Source organism: Homo sapiens, chromosome 3 (assembly GCF_000001405.40).
Source record: "Homo sapiens chromosome 3, GRCh38.p14 Primary Assembly".
Taxonomy (NCBI): Eukaryota; Metazoa; Chordata; class Mammalia; order Primates; family Hominidae; genus Homo; species Homo sapiens.
In genome coordinates, this window is record NC_000003.12 from 188855665 (window position 1) to 188873844 (window position 18180).

General features: G+C 38.5%; 1 protein-coding gene across 50 annotated transcripts in view; it reads left to right on the forward strand.

Moving 5' to 3' along the window:
- The window catches only part of LPP (LIM domain containing preferred translocation partner in lipoma), a 737651-nt gene that overhangs the window by 702644 nt on the left and 16827 nt on the right, over window positions 1–18180 (forward strand). For all 50 annotated transcript variants that reach the window (NR_164692.1, XM_047448103.1, NM_001375457.1 and 47 more), the window contains 2 exons: window positions 10536–10714; window positions 16979–17099. Coding sequence is in view for 49 of the 50 variants with exons in the window: in XM_047448103.1 (XP_047304059.1) it covers window positions 10536–10714; window positions 16979–17099 (300 nt within the window). In the remaining variant the exon portion in view is untranslated. The remainder of the gene's footprint in view (window positions 1–10535; window positions 10715–16978; window positions 17100–18180) is intronic.

Consider the following 18180-nt stretch of genomic DNA (forward strand, 5'->3'; position numbering starts at 1 on the left):
GGAAACTGAGGGTGATGCTTTGAACAAGACAAAGAACCATGCCCTATTGAAGCTTTTGTTCAGCCCTCAAATCACTCCATTTCAAGGGACCAAAAGCCCTATTAACTTAATTCCCTTATTTTATAGCTGACGGAATTTAGGCCCAGGGAGGAAATGCTTTGTACAAAACTCACTGCTGGTGGCTGACGTTGGCAAGACTGGAATACAGCCCTTGACTTCTGCTTTATTTCTCCTTGCCACTGAGCCATACAGAGTCTCTGTAACCATCTATGTCAGCAATTCTAGTTTAGTGCTGGGGTTGGTTAGCACTGTGACCCAAAGATAAGTCTTTTTCTCTATCAAGGCCTCATGTCTACTCTTAATAAAGGTAACAAAATTGAGGGTTGTTAAGATGGGGCTTCACAGGCGTGGGTACCAGGGGCTTTGTTGGACCTTGATTACGGTTAAGTCAAGAAAATGGACCTTGCCAAGTATAACTGCCGCAAACTAGACAGAGAACTGTATGAGACTTCTTATTGGCTCATAGACTTCTCTGTACACACTCTAAATGCATGGTATGTAACTACTCCATCACTTGATAGGCATTCCAGGTATGTAAACTAAATAAGATACATGGCAAGAAAAATTACCTGCTGAAGACAAAACAACAAAAACAAAATAATCTGTATTTTTCCAAACTCAATATTCAATATTCAAGGGAGTATGGGTACTTGTGTATATATTTTATACTTGTCTACTTCTCTCCAGTAATAAGAATGATAGAAGTTGGCTCAGTTGATTAGTCAGAGGCTGTTGAACCAAGATGTAGGGTCGATCCTTCTGTGTAACAGTAATTCTCTCCAGCGAAAAGAGCTTTATAACAATATCTTTATATCTATTTACATTCTTAAACAGTGCTTCTCCCATTTCTTATAATATTTAATTCTCATTGTTAAGAGATTGTTAAGGCAGAATACTTAGTATCCCATTCTATAGATGAGAAAATTGACACCCATGTAGCTTATGGAATTTTGTTCAAGGTGCTGTGAATTCCAGCTACTCTGGAAATTCACTGCCTCAATGAAACTGGTCTAAATGTTGGTTAATAGCCTCTATTTATAGGTTGCTGATAGTAGGAATTATGAAAGCTGGACCTAAGGCTTCCTAATGTGAGGCTTTGGATAGGATTATCTGCTCTGAGCTCTTAGCCAGAAGGCCCCCATATTTATCAGTGTGCAACAATCTTGTTTTGACAGCGACAAAACCCAAGTAGTGTCACATACTCAGCTTAACAATTTTTCATTGGCTATGTAAGTAATTATGTTAATTTTATCATATTCTTATTGTTAAGTGGGACAGAACACCAGGGAGATGTGTTGGTATTCAAAAAGGGACCTAGTGTGGGGTTGGGAGAAGAGCACTGCATAGAAACCATGCCATCTGCGTCCTGGACTTTTTCACAAAATAGTATATCACATTGGGCAAATATACCACAATAGGCAAATCAGCTTCACAAAATGCAGTGTCCTAGTATGTGAGGTGAGACAGTTGGACAAGATGATTCGGGGAATTTTTCAAGCTCAACCAAACTATGTATTTATGAGAGGCTATGGGAAATCTGCATGCTAAAGATTATTAACTGCATTCTGAATAATTGCCTTTATACAGAATAACGGAGAAAGATATCTGAGAAACTTGTTAATTGGAGGACAGTGTGAAGTAGAAGAATGAGCCTTTCTCTTTGTACTTTAGAAAACACAGGTTCAAATCCTGGCTGCATTTATAGCTGTGTGTCATGTAATGCGGAAAAGAATTCTACCATTCTACCTCCTATACCAGATTGCTCTGGAGATTAGACGGGCTCCTGTTTGTGTACATTTAGTAAACTTTAAGGATTGTACCAAATCAAAGTATCAGTTATTATTTTTGGTGTATAAAGGAATATAAATTACTTTTATGAAGAATTAAGAAATGTATGGATTTGGGGTATAATAAGGTTTACACAGAAGAAGAGCTTTTTCACAAAATTCCCAGGAAAGCAGGGGGAAACTCACTTAGAAATCTAGAAGCCCATTTTATATTATGACATTATCCAATTATCCCAGAGTATCATATACACAATTCCTTAGATAATCCATTTGTTGAAAGGACAGATATAAAATATAGGAGAATTAATGGTGAAGGGAAAAAATAGAAATACGGTGCTTCAGTGTGGTAGTTACATTAAATGATCAAAGGATGACAAGTTAATTGAATAAATGTCTTAGCCCCTTGAAATTTGTATAGGGAATTTATAAAACTAACATTTATTATATAGTCAGGACTGGGTTCTCGCTTTGATAATATGTGAACTCATTTAAACCTCACAACACTGCAATGTAGACATTTCAGTCTACAAAAACCAAAGGCCAGAAAGGTCAAGAAAATTGCCTAGCTTTTCGAACCCAGATCACCTTTTTCCTACTGTTTCACTAATTCTCTTACTATAATATGGCAGACCTTCTTTGATGTCTGAGTTAATAAATCTTCACATGACTTATGTTGTAAAGGCAAAATCTATCATTTGACTTGTCTCGGAAGGAAAGGAACTCAATTCTTTTCTTTCTCTCTCACCATAGTCTTAGTCTTCTCTGATATGTTCATTATGCCCATGGCATGAGGGTCTGACCCACAGTCCTCAGCTCTTAGGCCCCTTCCCCCTGCCCCACATTTTTCAAGGATCAGAACACATTCAAAAGAAGTGTTTTGGAAGACCTAGCATGTCACATGGGTTATGCATTTTAAAGTAAAATATTACCTCTCCGGGCATTAAGGTATAAATAAACTAAATGTTCTATAATTGAGATTTTCTTTTCCGATTTAGTAAAGCTCAGATCACAATCCTAACCCTAGTGCTTAAGAATAAAAAACAGGGCGTAATTTACTTTGTGAAGAATGTGATTTTTAGCTCATGGCAAAATTGAATAGAACGGCCTAATTGCTGTGATCTTTTTGTTCTTTCTGTTGGCTTTTTCCTTATGGTTTTAGGGCATATTTCTCAATTTTAAAGCCAGTTTATGTAGTCCAAATACAAACAGAAAATTTTATAAGAAAATTGTTTTTCTAAATTTTATTTTGATAGTAACACATAGGTTTTGTCTGTGCTAGTTAAAACATGGATGTTCGGCCGGGCGTGGTGGCTCATGCTTGTAATCCCAGCACTTTGGGAGGCCGAGGTGGGCGGATCACCTGAGCTCACGAGTTCAAGACCAGCCTGGCCAACATGGTGAAACCCTGTCTCTGCTAAAAATAAAAAATTAGCTGGGTGTGGTGGTGTGTGTCGGTAGTCCCAGCTACTCAAGAGGCTGAGGCAGGAGAATCGCTTGAACCTCGGAGGCAGAGGTTGCAGTGAGCCGAGATCGCGCCACTGCACTCCAGCCTAGGTGACAGAGTGAGACTCTGTCTTTAAAAAAAAAAAAAAAAAAAAAAAAAGGATGTTCATGTCTGGCAATATTGAGTTCCCCTTCATCAGTGCTGCTCAATACACAGATTTCGTTACAATATTCTTCCTGTGAAATGAATTTGTTTCAGTGCAGGCTTATCTGCGACTCCTATAAGAGTATTAGATATTAAAGACTCTTGTTATAGCACAACATTAATTCCAAAGTGGGTTAAAATAAGTTTTTTTTCAAGTGCCAAATCCAATCCCAACTAGAATAGATTCTTAAGAGTCATAGACCACCACCATACTGCCTGCTCTCTCACCATTCATAAGTAATTACTCTCTTCTCTGCATTCCCATCATTCATTACTCGTGCCTCAATGATAGCAATTTGTCATGCCCTTTGCCTCGAATCAGTTGTTAATAGTTGTGTCCACCTGTCTCACTGCATTGAGAACCTTTGAGGGCAAGGATGGCATCTTTATCTTCCATCTCTTCCTCTGTACCTGCCAGGCTGTTGAACACTTTGTTCCATTCTTTAGGCTTTCTGCAATATTAGAGTAAGTGAGGAGGCAGCTCTGCTCTTTAGAGAGGCATATAAGAAGTTTGTTTAAAGAGAGTTTATAAGAAAACTGAGGCAATAGATGCAAAAAGTTATGCTCCAAAAGATTAACAAAAAAAGTTGAAATTATTTCACTGAATTTTCAGTTCTGTGTTTCATAGCTGTCATCTTCAGGGGTAGGGGGGTGTGTCATGACATCAAAAAAGTACAGTTTAGAGATTTGATGCTATCTATTAAATTGTTTCAAAACGTTTCCTATCTATCAGGAAAACTTTCATCTGTAAAAGAGGAATTTTGATTCTAATTGAAAAATCACAGTCATAGGGGTGGGATGCTGTTAAGCTTGAGATTATTATTTTCAGTCTGTTTCAAAACACACATTACATGCAGATACAAATATAGACTTAGATTAAGATATAGACAAAGGACATTAGAAAGACCAAGAGAAATGTTAATAAAAAGTTCATGTCTCACAGGAAGGCAGAGCTGTTGGAAGGTTATCTAGTATAGGGTCATTAGAACTACCAAGGTAAAATGATATCTTCACTTGCAAAGCAAACCCAAAAGTACTGCCATCATTTGGGAAGCAATCTTGATGACCAGAATCAAGGTAGAGAATAAGTTTTTATTCCATAATTAAGTTAGGCAATAGCAGTATTCTGAGTTCAGATAATGGCACTGGCATTTCAAGAGAAATTGGCTGAGTCATAGCCCTGCTCCTTTACTGTACCACATTACCATTCTGTTGGGAACACCTACACTTGAGCTGTACTTCCCAACCTTTTTCACATCCCAGTTCATGTGGAAAATGATGGCATTCATTCAGCACACGGAGTAAGTGGATGAGATCTCTCCTGTCCTGTTCCTGAGGCAACCGCTCAGGAACTCTGGACACCTCTGGTCCTTCCGAATCCTCCCAAATATGGTGCATCCGGAACCCACTTGAAACACACTGTGTGTTAACCTGCCAGTTGAGAAGTTCTAGACTGGAGAATTGTTTTGCATGGTTAAATAGAAAAAAAAAACTTATTTTATATAAAGTACTTACCTGGACTTTATTAATTCATTAACTAACTGATATTTGTGGAGCATTAATTTTATGCAAGCATACTGTTGTAGATGCTTGGGATCCAACGACGAGTTTTCTCTTGTCCTATAGGAGTTTAGGAGACAAACTGTCTTAAGATCTTAACATGTTTTCTCTATTTATTTGCATGTAACTTGCAGATAGCAAGCCTGAATGTCTTCTTTCTATTTGAAATACAGTGTGTGTCTACCGATATACAGATTCCATATAATGTGATGTAGCAGAGAGAGTCTCCATTGGACAGAGAATTAGGAGACCTTTATTGTAACTCCCAATCTGTCACTAGCTGTGTTCTCTATCTATACCTTAGTTTCTTGAATCCAGCAGTTGGACTAGAATCATGGTTTTCAGATAGTACAGGTTCCATCCCTTCATGCCCTTCAGCCAGAAGTGATTTTGGGCTCTTTAATATGTGCTTTTTTTGATAAATTGTTTCCCTGAAGAAAGGATTATGGGTGAATGGCCAAGTAAAAGAAGGTGAAAATTCCTGGGCTAGTGTAATCTCTAAAGACTTTTCAAGACTGAATGTCTTCTAACTCTCTCTTTTTTTCTTTTTGTTCTTATCTCAACAAGACCTAAACTATCTAGATCATGAGATGTCACTCCTTATCTTTCCAAGAGTCTTTCCTGTTTCACGATATTGTTTTTGTACCTAAAAAAGGTAAAGATGAATATAAGATCACATTTTAATTTTATAAAATGAAAATGTTGTTAACATTTCCAAATGGCAGTAATCACTTTATAGTCTTCTGAATCTTCAATTACTTATGTAAATGAAGACTGTATATCTTGATTTTAAATACTCAAAATTGAACACTTACATATACCTATGTAATATGTAAATAATGGTAATATTCTTATTCTTTATCATCTCATTAGTAGTTCACGTTTATGTTATCTATATGCTTCATTTATATTCATATGATTCTTCAGCTCTTCTGCCTGTGAGTTACAAGTTATTTATACAATATCCAAAGATAGAAAAAAATACTACCCCATTGTATCTCTGACTTAAAAACGTTGCATTTGGGGGTTTTCTGTACAAAGTTGATTTGTGATTTAATTGTTAGTTTCACTGAGTTTTTTTGTTTTTAGTCACAATTGTATTGCCAACATTTCAGAAAAATTTATAAGCTGTGACTTTTAGCAACAGAATCTGCTTTTTTCTGCTACTCTACGTCCTTTCATTTTAACCATACTTTCATTGGAGTAGCCTAAAACATTTTTTTATGGAAAAAAGTCCTCAAACAGTGCCTGTTGCAAAATGAATAAAATTTGGATTCTTCATTCAGCTTTGGCCAAAGGCCTTCCACAGCTCGTTACCAATTACTTACTGTGTGTCATGAACTTTGTAGTCCCTGGGCAAGGATGCTTACTATTGTGGATACCGTAGATAGAGTGTACAATAGGAATAGGAAGTATAAGAAGTATAAGGACTTCCTATACTTTCCCACAGGTGTTGATTGCAAGGACACTTCTTGATAACTAACTGTGTGCAAATCTGCTTCAGAATTTGTTTCCTAGGAAACACAACCTCAGACTATGGCTTCATGGGAGGAGAGAGGAGTGATTGCAGTTTAGTCATAGAGGTTGACATAAACCACTAAATCAAGTACATTGTGTTCAGTGTCATAGGGGAAGCATAATACAATCCTATGGGAGTGGAAGAAGTTACTTACTTTTCTTGGAATACAACAGAAAAAGATTTAGGAAAGATTTTTCAGAAGAGGTGACATTTGAGTTTCACTTTGAAGAATGAGTAGGCATTCTCTAAGCAAAGTAGAATACAAGATAGTCTGGGCTGGTAAAAGAATGTTGCTTATTAAAGATGTGGCAGAAAGCTCAGTGTGGCAGCTGGGAGGAGGAGTCCATGGGACCACGATGGAGCTGGATCAGCAGTCCAGTCACAAAGCACGCTACTGATATTGAAGGTTCATAAGCTGGAAGGTGCTCTTTTCTTTTAAATCCCCAGCTATCAATGCTGGCAACCCTACTAGACAAAAAAATAAATAAATAAATAAATAAAAGAAAAAAGAAAAGAAAGAAAGAAAAAGAAAGAGAGAGAGAGAGAAAGAAAGAAAGAAAAAGAAAAAAGTGATTTGAATAGGCATATTTAGAGACATCCCTCTTTCACTTATTTGCTTAAAGACTTTCTTTTTTTTCAAAACCGATTTATTTGTCAACCATTTCATGTCATGGGTTCAGATGAATCCAATATTTGTATGAAGCGTGCATCTTTTTGTCTGGCTTTAAAATAATCATCTATAACACAAAAATATCCCTCTATGATCCTTACAATTTTACCATTAGCAATTTCTAGAATTATCAGTGGAGGTGCATAGTAAAGGTAATATAGTCCAGGTTTCTAGCAAATGAATGCCCCTTTCAAACCTCTGATAAGGGGTTATCCAGTTGTTTTTGTATATTTCTGATAATGTAAACATGTATCTTTTTCTATTGTTGTTAATACTGATTTATCACAGATTAATACAATTACAGAGTTTGAATTAATCATTTTTCAAATGAGAAAACTGAGATCGAAGGAATAAATTATTTACCCAATGTCATACAGCAGATTTTGACAAAGCCAGAAGGATAATTCATATTCTTCACCTAGCAACTTTCCTTTTTCATGGCCACATAATGAATTCCTTAGCTCCCTCTCTGCATTATTAGGAGTCAGGTAACTGGGGTACCAGTCCCACCTCTGCATCTCATGCTCTCCACAACTCAGGTCCAGCACATCCATTCTCAAAGTCTGCCTGCTCACCTGTGGAATGAGAGTCTGGACTAAGGGAACTCCCAGCCCCCTCCTCCTGACACTGTGAGTTTTTCCTTTCTCGAAGGCTACTGGTAGGCCCCACTGGAGACTGAAAGGGGAAGATTGCAGTAAAAGGCGCAGGCTGTCGAAGGATAACATGTCCTTCTACATCATTCACTAGCCTAGGATGCCAGTCAACTTCATTCTTGGAACCTTTATTTTCCAATTTGCGGGCATTTTGCAATAGGCTGATTTTAATCACATTTTATACTTTTTTTCCTTTGTTGCAGAAATGTTTGTATTACCTGTTCTTTGAATGCAGCATCTGTAGACCACAAGGTCTTTCCATAGGAACTAAGCCTGTTATATTGCTGCTAGTTTTGAGTAAATGAGCTGAATCTTGCAGCCAAGCCTCAGTGCAAACAAAAACATTTTCTGGCCAAACATTTTCTGGTTATTCAACTCCATTACAGGGCTGACTAAAAAAAAAAAAAAAAAAGTAAAAACCCACAGAGGAGCAAAACACAAGTCCTGGGAAGACAATTTCCAGCCACATTAGCTCACATTGTCAGGGTAGAAAAGAAACAGGCCCTCATTCTTCAAACCATCATCATCTCCAAACTCTTACCCTGTGCTCTTCTGCTATTTTAATTTCACCACTTCAAAATGGGAAAAACAAATAGGTTAATAGTTTCCATGCGTTTAGACTGTGACCAGAGGCATACGAAGCAATTTCAGAACCTCAGGCAACCACAGCTTTGAGGGAAGGATGATGATGGATTTACCAATTCATCTTGGGATGGATTCCAGAGTTAAGGGAGTCAGGCCAGCACTGTGCTGCCAGAGTGGGATATAAACAATATTCATTCGTTCATTCTTTTTGTACACATTCATCTCAGGCTTATTTCTATTTCAGACAGTATACTGGGTGCATTATAGGACAGAGAAATACATTCTTAAGACATAGTCTCTGCCCCTAATGAAATTAAAGTCTGGTAGAGGAAATAGACATAAGCACAAATAATTTAAATAAAGTGCACACTGAAAGTATTGTAAGCAAACCAAATAAAGTGCTCAGGAATGGGAGAGAAAGAAGCAATTCATTCCAAGTGGGACCATTGAGGAAGGCTTCACTGGGGAATGGCCTTCTAGCCTGTACCCTGAAAGGTCAAAATGGCAAATTGCGATACATCTAGGCATTAGCCAAGGCACAGAAGTATGGGAGTTTCACATAGGTTTGAACAAGAGTGAGTGGTCTGAGATGTTATGAGAACCATAAAGGGGGGTTGGATACCATGTAAAGAATAAGCTCTTTTTACATTGTGAAGCCATTAAGATTTTATTATCCAGAAAGGTACTTGTATTTGATCACATCTGTGTTTGGAAAGAAAACTGGAAGTCATTGGAGACAGGGGCAAGGGGAGTATTATAAGAAGAGAGATACAAAGAAGCCAAATCATAGGTCATTGCTATAGGTTAGACATAAGGACACTAGTTACCTACGTACAGACACTTCTTGCTTCATAGCCATTTATATATCCTCATGGTAAAAGAGCAGCTACCCCTGAATTTCCACATCCCATTCAGTTCTGCATCTTTCTAATAAGATCCACATCCCGGGTTTATTCCTGATTGTAAACTCAATGAGTTAATCCAGATACCTCAGTTGTAATATAGCATTTTACATGTGAAACGTGGTTGTTTGCTAAGAGCATGGAATTAAAGGGCAGGATGGAAAGTTAACAGCCGATCTTTCTGAGACCTGACTCACTAACTGGTGTCTCTTTTAAGGGGTGCTATATATTTTTAAAGCTTAGAATATTTTTAAGGCCAGATAAATGTGTTTCTTAATTCACTTTTTCAAACCAGCTCCCTTCTACATTCAACATTTCTGTCAAGAGTTTGCAAACTCTAAACTTGGAGATGGTGTGTAAATCAAAGCTTTAAATGATCAGAAGCCTAATTGATTATGCTGAGTTCTGATTTGGGTTCTGCATTTAGCATGCTCTGTCTCAGTCATCTGACAGGCTATTCTGTAAAAAGTAGGGGTCTTAGTGATCGCACTATGGTCTAAGTGGTCACACTATGTCTTTGATAATGAATCAAGTTTTAGAAGTAATAGTGAAGCATTCCTCAATCGGTGAACCAGAGTGGTATAGTTCAAGGGTCAACAAACTATGCCCATGGGTCAAATCCAGCCCATTGTCTGTTTTTTTTTTGTAAATAAAGTATTACTGGAACACAAGCATGCCCATATGCTTGCATGCTATGACTGCTTTCCAGCTATAATAGCAAAGTTGACTTGTTACAACAAAGCCAGAAATATTTACTATATGGGACTTTAGAGAAAAGTTTGCCATCACCCATGCTGTAGGAAACAAGGGAAGGAACAAGGATAGCAGTCAGAAAACACATGTCCTCAGTTCTGGACTTGCCACCTACTACCTGAGTAATACTAGAAAAGCCACTTGACCCATCTAATTGTGTTTCCTTCTCTCTATAACACACTTCTTTGGCCAGTTTGTTAGTTAATTGGCCGATAACACTTGTTTTCTATTTGTAAGGACTGTATTAAAGCTGTAGATGTGGTTTGTAAATGGTGATAAATGCCTTCCTTAGAGTGGTGTGATAAGGACCTGAGACAATCTGTTTTGTAAAGATGCCTGTCATGCAGTATGGACCCCCTTCTGTCCCAGTCTGACGTGGTTTCTGTTTCCTTCCCCAGAATACTCTGGAGCAGTGCAATGTGTGTTCCAAGCCCATCATGGAGCGGATTCTCCGAGCCACCGGGAAGGCCTATCATCCTCACTGTTTCACCTGCGTGATGTGCCACCGCAGCCTGGATGGGATCCCATTCACTGTGGATGCTGGCGGGCTCATTCACTGCATTGAGGACTTCCACAAGTAGGCAACCTACTCTCTCGTCACCACCCTGCCAGTCCTTTTGGAGTCTGTTCTTACTGCTTGGCATCTGGGCATACATTCTTCTCTCTCAGAACTACAGAATTTCAGGATTTAGTGAGGCTTTTAAAAGAGCTTATTGATCCCCTCCTCCAATGCAAGAATTAATATCAGACAATCCATGCAGTCATCCAGCCTGGTCTCTGTGTCAAGGCTTCCCCAGAGCTTGTCCATTGCATCTCTGGGTAATTCTAATGACGAAAAAGCTGGCTCAGCTATAGTGTGTATGTGTTAGAAAGAAACAGGATCCTGGCCTAAATATGAACAAAATTTGTGACATTTGGCATTGTTCAACTTATTTGAGCTCTTCAGTTTGGTCTTTAGATCAAACCCTCTCTAAAGCTCTCTCAGCTGTGATGACCCAGAGTTTTCTCAAGAGCTAATCTGTGCATCCCTGCCACTCTACTGATAGGGAGTTATGGTGGACAGACACAGAGAACCATTCAGTTTCTTTTACTAATGCAAGCCTCTCACATATTCAAAGGCAGTTTCATGCCATTGTCAACATATTGATGCCATTCCCTAGCCTTTTCTTCCACCCAAGTCTTCTCTTTCTCAAGTTATTTTTTAATAGAATTAATGAATGCAAATTGTGTGTTCTTTTGAGGAGGATTAAAAAATGGTGCCTCAAGATCAAGGCCAGTTATTCATGGGCCCAAAATAATCTGTCCCCACTACTTCATTTATCTCATTTTTAGGTCCTTCTTTCCTGTATTACAGCTGGGGTCTTTATGAAAATTAAGAAATTTAAACAGTTTTGTATTGTGCTTATTTTTATTTGACCAGTTTGTTACTTAATTATTCAATAACATTCATTTTATATATATGTTTATATATATACATAATAATATGTAAATATATTTTTATATATTTTATATATAAATATATTTATTTATATACATGTATATTATTATTGTTATTATTTTTTAGACAAAGTCTCACTCTGCTGCCCAGGCTGGAGTGCAGTAGTGCAATCTCAGCTCACTGCAACCTCTGCCTCCTGACTCAAGCAATTCTCCTACTTCAGCCTCCCAAGGAGCTGAGACTACAGGCATGCACCACCATGCCCAGCTAATGTTTGTATTTTTAGTAGAGATGGGGTTTCGCCATGTTGGCCAGGCTGGTCTCAAACTCCTGTCCTCAAGTGACCCACCTGCCTCAGCCTCCCAAAGAGCTGGTATTACAGGCATGAACCACTGTGCCCAGCCAACGTTTGGTTTATATTTTTAAGAACTGTACTAAACCTATAGATATGATCTGTAAATGGTGGACTCAGGTTTCTGTATGTGTTTGCTGGGCAGTGGCTTTGAAGACAGCCTTTGAGGCTATCAAAGAGATGAAGCTTGTATTGCTCACCAGGTTGGGTATCCATTCTATGGCTTCCAAGTGTGAAGTCTTCTGGGTTAATTCTCACCACTGTGTTGATTGTCAACAGCCAGGAAGCACTTACCCCAAGGAGTTTGGAGATCTGAGACTCATATTTTAAGAATGAATGTCCTAACCACTTTCCAAGTAGCAAAGAAAGTGAAAACCTCACCAAAAGACGTGAGGTTGAATGAATTAAAAAATCCCAGAGGCGGAAATTTGCAACCTGAATTAGACAAGGAAGGACTCACTTTTAAAGGGCAGTCACAGCATAAATTGTGCTTCACATTATTGATATTTTTAGCTTGTAATTACACATTGAAAAATCCCTGCGTCTTAAGGGAAGTGAAAAGATCTCAATGGGGAGTATGTTCTGTTACTGTTTCTCTCCTTTCTTAGACTTATCCTAATCCAAGAAAGACTGATACTTATAATCGGAGCACACATGTTTCTGTGGCTAGAAAAGACTGATACATTACACCCCTCAATTAAAACAGGAAATCAATTTTGACAAATGCCAATTTATATCTATGCCATTTATCTTTCATGTCTAGGGGTAGGGAGCATAATTAGAGACTGGTGACTGATGACATCAGTTTGTGGGTCTGAAAGCTCCCAAAAAGCAGACTTGAGCAACTAAAAGGGGGAAAAAAATTAAAACCCCCAGATAACCTTCCCCACTCGTTCAATGCATGTTAAAACATAAATTAAAAATGATAATAATGTTGTCTTCATGATTGGCAGGTATGTAGGGAGAGAAGTTTTTTGATCCTTTCTCCATTTCCTAAAGGAAAATAAGAAACTGTTTTATGGAACTCTTATTTATAAGCCTTAAAATTACTAGAATACAAAGCAGCTAAAAGTCCAGCATAGGCTAATCACTGAAAGACCAAAGAGAGGGCAGACAAAGGGATATTCCTCCTCCAGACAGTTTTTGGGGCCTTGTTTGTGGTCCTTTTGAATGGGTCTCCTTTTGTGGACCTTTAGAAAATGCATGTTAATTCAGTTCAACTCACATTTATAAAGAACCCTCTGTGTGCCAATTGTTGCATTAAATGCTGAAGGAGAGAGATACAAGGAGAGAAATTGTGCAGATATATATAGAGAAGTCACTGTCAGCAAGGAGCTTGCCAGGAGGAGGGCAGAGAAAGTGTGCAGACAGGGAGAAAGGGCTGAACTCCATGAGACAGGCACAGGTAAGGGCTTGCACTGTCAAAGTCAGATCACCTGGCTCTGTGGTCAGAATAGGCTTTGTGGACGGAGAATGTCAAGAGTGTTTTAAGTGGGAAACAAGGAGATTCCTGGCAGAGGGAACAACTCAGGCAAAAAGCAGAGGCACAGAGTTAGTAAAGGGTTCTCTGTGTTCAGGGAGATTTGCTTTGCTGTAACTAGAGCAGCCTGGGAGTAGAGATTACCTTGAGATACAGGAGACCCATAAGAAGGGATTTACCTCACCTGCTTAGCCTGCCTTTTATTTATTTATTTGTTTATTTTATTTATTTATTTTGAGATGGAGTCTCACTCTTGTCACCCAGGCTGGAATGCAGTGGCACAATCTCAGCTCACTGCAACCTCTGCCTCCCATGTTCAAGCAATTCTCCTGCCTCAGCCTCCCAAGTAGCTTGGATTACGGGCACCCACCACCATGCCTGGCTAATTTTTATATTTTTAGTACAGACAAGGTTTCACCATGTTGGCCAGGCTGGTCTTGAACTCTTGACCTCAGGTGATCCACCCGCCTAGGCCTCCCAAAGTGCTGGGATTACAGGCGTGAGCCACTGCACCCAGCCTTAGTCTGCGTTTTAAACCAGTGCTTCCCAAACTTTAATGTGCCTGTAATCCACAGAGGGATCTTGTTAAACTTTGGATTTTAATTCAGGTCTGGAGTGGGGCCTAAGATTCTGGATTTCTGTCAAGCTCCCAGGTGCCCATGGCCTGCACTTTGTGTAACAAGGTTCTGGAATACTGTTTTTGAGAACTTGTTAATGGACCATCCTCTACATAAACACCTTTGGTCAATGTTGACTCATATCCTCCAGCCTACTGGACATGCAATCTTTCACATATGTCATTTCAGATGACCGCTGCAACCACTGCAGTCTTCTGGAAGACTATCTCCCCTACCCTAACACACACGTACACATTTTCTCATTTCACCTAAATGGTTATCTTTAAAGGCCCAACTCAATTACCGTTTCCTGGAAGAAAACTTCTCTGATCTCCACCCCTCCCTTTTCTCAAGTTTAGATTTACATCTTAATCTCTGTGTTTTATAGAGTTTTATAAGTCTGCTGTAGATAGCACTTACCACAGTCTGACTGGTATAGAAATATACATATGTGTGTGTGTGTATATACATATGTGTGTTTGTGTATATATATATATAACTTTACAATAATCATCTTGTATCATTTTTGCAATAAGGATTTGTATATATAAATTAATAGAAATACTGCAGAAATATATAGAACTCCTTCTCAGGTCTGTACTGGAAGTCGTTGCTTATTCTTGTATTCCCAGTGAGAAAACCCAGAAAAGCAGATTTCTTTAACTGACTCTTTGCATGTATGGAGGCTTTATTCCCCTATCTGTGCTTTCTTATCAGGAATATTACCCTCATTCATTTATGTATTTAATCAGCATCCATTAGTTGATTGCCAGAAATGTGCCGGAATACAAGATGACCAAGATCATCCCTCTCTGAGCCTTCGCTCTGTTGGCTGTAAAGTAGAAATGATAAAAATACTTCCTCATAATGTTGCTGTCAGTAGAAAATTACGTCAAGTGTGTACAGCACTTAACAGGGCTTGGCACATAATAAGCACTCAATAAATGGTAGCTTTAATCATCGAAAGTTGTTTTCATCAAATTTACTTTTACGATTATTGTCCACTCAGTGAGCTAAGCCTTGAAATAGACCACCTGGGATTGTGAGCCCTCCTCGAATTGCTATCGGAGGAACACTGTGGGGACTATGAGAACCACCTCCTGCCTCTTCGCTTTGGTTTTTCTCATTATGGAAATGAGGCCAATTGGTAGGAAAGAATCATTACTCAGCAAGAATACAGTTTATGTCTTCCCAAAGAGGAAGAACCTTGAGATTGAACATAAAGCCCAACTAATATCTTTTTTTATACAGAAATATGGCAGATTCATTTCATTAGATACAGCCCAACTTTTTTTTTCTGCACCAGTCACAGTGGTTGTTCCTGGAGACTCAGAGATGGAGCAAAGTCCTATCTTGTGGAAACTTAGAGTTTAGTGCCCCATAAATATATCCAAATAATTACTACCAAAATGGATAAATTCAATGACAGAATTCTTATCTTAGAGGAGTAAATAATTCTATTTGGGGAAATTGGAGAAGGCTTATGGATACACTGAAAAGGAAAACATACTTCTGCTCCCACAGAGTTTGGGGAAAGGAAATTTTGCAGTTGATCCCAGAAGCCTACTTATTTCACCACTGATGACCCAGATTTAAAAATAATCTGGTAGTCCAAAGCAATTTTTTGCCACTGAATATAAACTTCTTGCATAAAATACCAATTATAACAACTCTGATTACTGCTGCAGTGGTACCATGATCCTTCTAACTTTTCTTTCACAGCAATCAATTGATCTGCTGCTTAATTCATATTTATTTAGATTGCAGCCATACAGATGCTTTTTGGGTGCTGCCAGGAAAATTAATTACCTACATATAGAATATAATGTATGTAGAAATGCTTTGACAACCGTAACGTGCTCTGCAAAGAGTTAGATTATTATCATTATTTCTTTTTAAGTCTCACTACAAATAGATAAATTTTTAACATCGTTTATCTTAAAACCAGTACCATGAAAAAACTGAGTCACAGTCTGTTTTTCTTTTTTTAAATCTCTTCAGTTCTTATCCAGGTCCATTTCAAATAATATGTCATTTCATACCTTCACAAATACCATCTCCAATTTCCAGAAGATACAGAGAGATACATGGCTTATATTTTCAGCCAATTAACCTGTCATAGAAAAAAAATTGTTAGGTACCATTGATCATATTGAGAAATACTAAGAAATTAATAAGTATTAAAAGTATTTACCAGCAGCCTCAAAAACATATGCATATGCATATTTATATGTATATGTATGTGTATGTGTGTTAGTATACACTCACCCTTTAACAGTGCTAAAATCCTTTAAAGAATAAAGAATTTGATAGCTCTTTAACTTTTAATTTTTAAGCAAAAGTTTAACACAATAAAAAATGTAGGAAATGCAGACTTGGCCACTTTTAAGTTTTGTGTAATGTATATTTAAACGCACTAACCTCTGCCCTTTTGAAAAGCTATGTATTTGAGTCTTCTTATGTCAGTTCCTAGAAGTCAAGGCAAATTTCCAAGAAAGAAGCTCTAAAAGGTGGGAACAAGGCAAAGATACCAACCTCAGACTATTTTTCTAGGACCTAAGGAGTGCATACAAAAGTCTAGAAACAAAAGTCAGAAACAAATAGGGGCTGGACAGGACTTTGTTCTCTCCTCCAGTTAGCCTATCCCAAGCACAGGGTTTGCATTCAGAATCTATCTAAAGATGAATTTCATACCGCGCACCATGCAGGAAAGAGATGCTAGATGCTCTTCATGCCCAAGCAATTCACACGCTCACTCTCTCACCTCGCCAAATATCACAATATTTACCACCGATTGATGGAAGAACCTCCACAGTCCCTGAGTCTAACTCCCTCACCTTACGGATGAGGAAGCAGGTATACCGACTCTCAGTTTCCACCTCTTCCTTTTACCTCTGCGTCCCACCTCAGTGTCGACGCGCAGTATCTAACCAGAACTCTCTCTTCACTTTCAGGAAATTTGCCCCGCGATGTTCTGTGTGCAAGGAGCCTATTATGCCAGCCCCGGGCCAGGAGGAGACTGTCCGTATTGTGGCTTTGGATCGAGATTTCCATGTTCACTGCTACCGATGCGAGGTCTGGTTGACAGCCCTGCCCTGCCAGTCTGTGGCAGGCGTTGAAAGGCTCGTTCGAGCTAGGTTTACATAGATGTAGCAATTACTAAATCTCAGAACGGCCTTAGTGCCTGTACTCATAGGACTTGGGTTTTAGATTTGACACTAGTATTCCGAGCACATGCTGTTGAATAAGTCACTGTACCTCTCTCAGTCTGCTTGCTCACCGGAAGAAAGGACTCAAGTCCTTAACTCCTCCAAATATGGCTGTGAGAGTGAAATACAAAATTGTATATTAAAGGACATTGTAAATTGTGAAATACTAAATTAGTGAGAAATGGTGTTATTGAACATTTAACTTTGGCTCTGAGGCTTTGGTTAGAACTTCTTGTTCAGAGTCATGGAGATTTATTTATTTGTTAGCATGCACTACTAATTGCTCAGTTTCCTGAACGCCTCTAGAGCTGCAGTATATCTGCATGTTCTTTTCAGTAAAGCCAAACTTCCCGCAGAGTATAACCATTGCTGCTATTGTGTTCTGGATACCCCGTTAACTTAAATTTCATTCTATGTCAAATGAAGACATGAACTCCATTGACCTCCTTGCCACCATGGTAGATAGCAGAGGCGAGGTTCATAGCTGTTGTGGCCTTTGAGAGTTTATACTAAAGTTAGCAAACACACACCTCTTGATGAAGTACTATGTATTTATTTTCCAAAGAAACTTCTATTTTCTCCAAAGACAAAGGCCAGCATTTAACTGTTATATAACACTTTTCAAAATGGACCCTAAGAGGAGCTGTCAGCGGTAGTATATTCCTTTACAGTTATGCAGTTCTTTGCATTTTTTTTTTTGATCCATTATCTTCTTTGATCCTCTTAACAGCTTGGTAAGGTAGAAAAGGCAGAAGTTATTTTCAGAGTGGCAGTCGGCCTGTGTGCATTGAGGCAGACTGTAGCAAAACTGTGGGTGGTGCTCAGGAGGCCTGTCCCCTGGACTAGCAATCTTTGCTCTCCACAATGCTGTCTCCTTTAGAAAGTACAGCAAACCACTACTCCCCACAAACTTTAGGATTTTATTTTCTTACTGCAGTTGAAGTAAA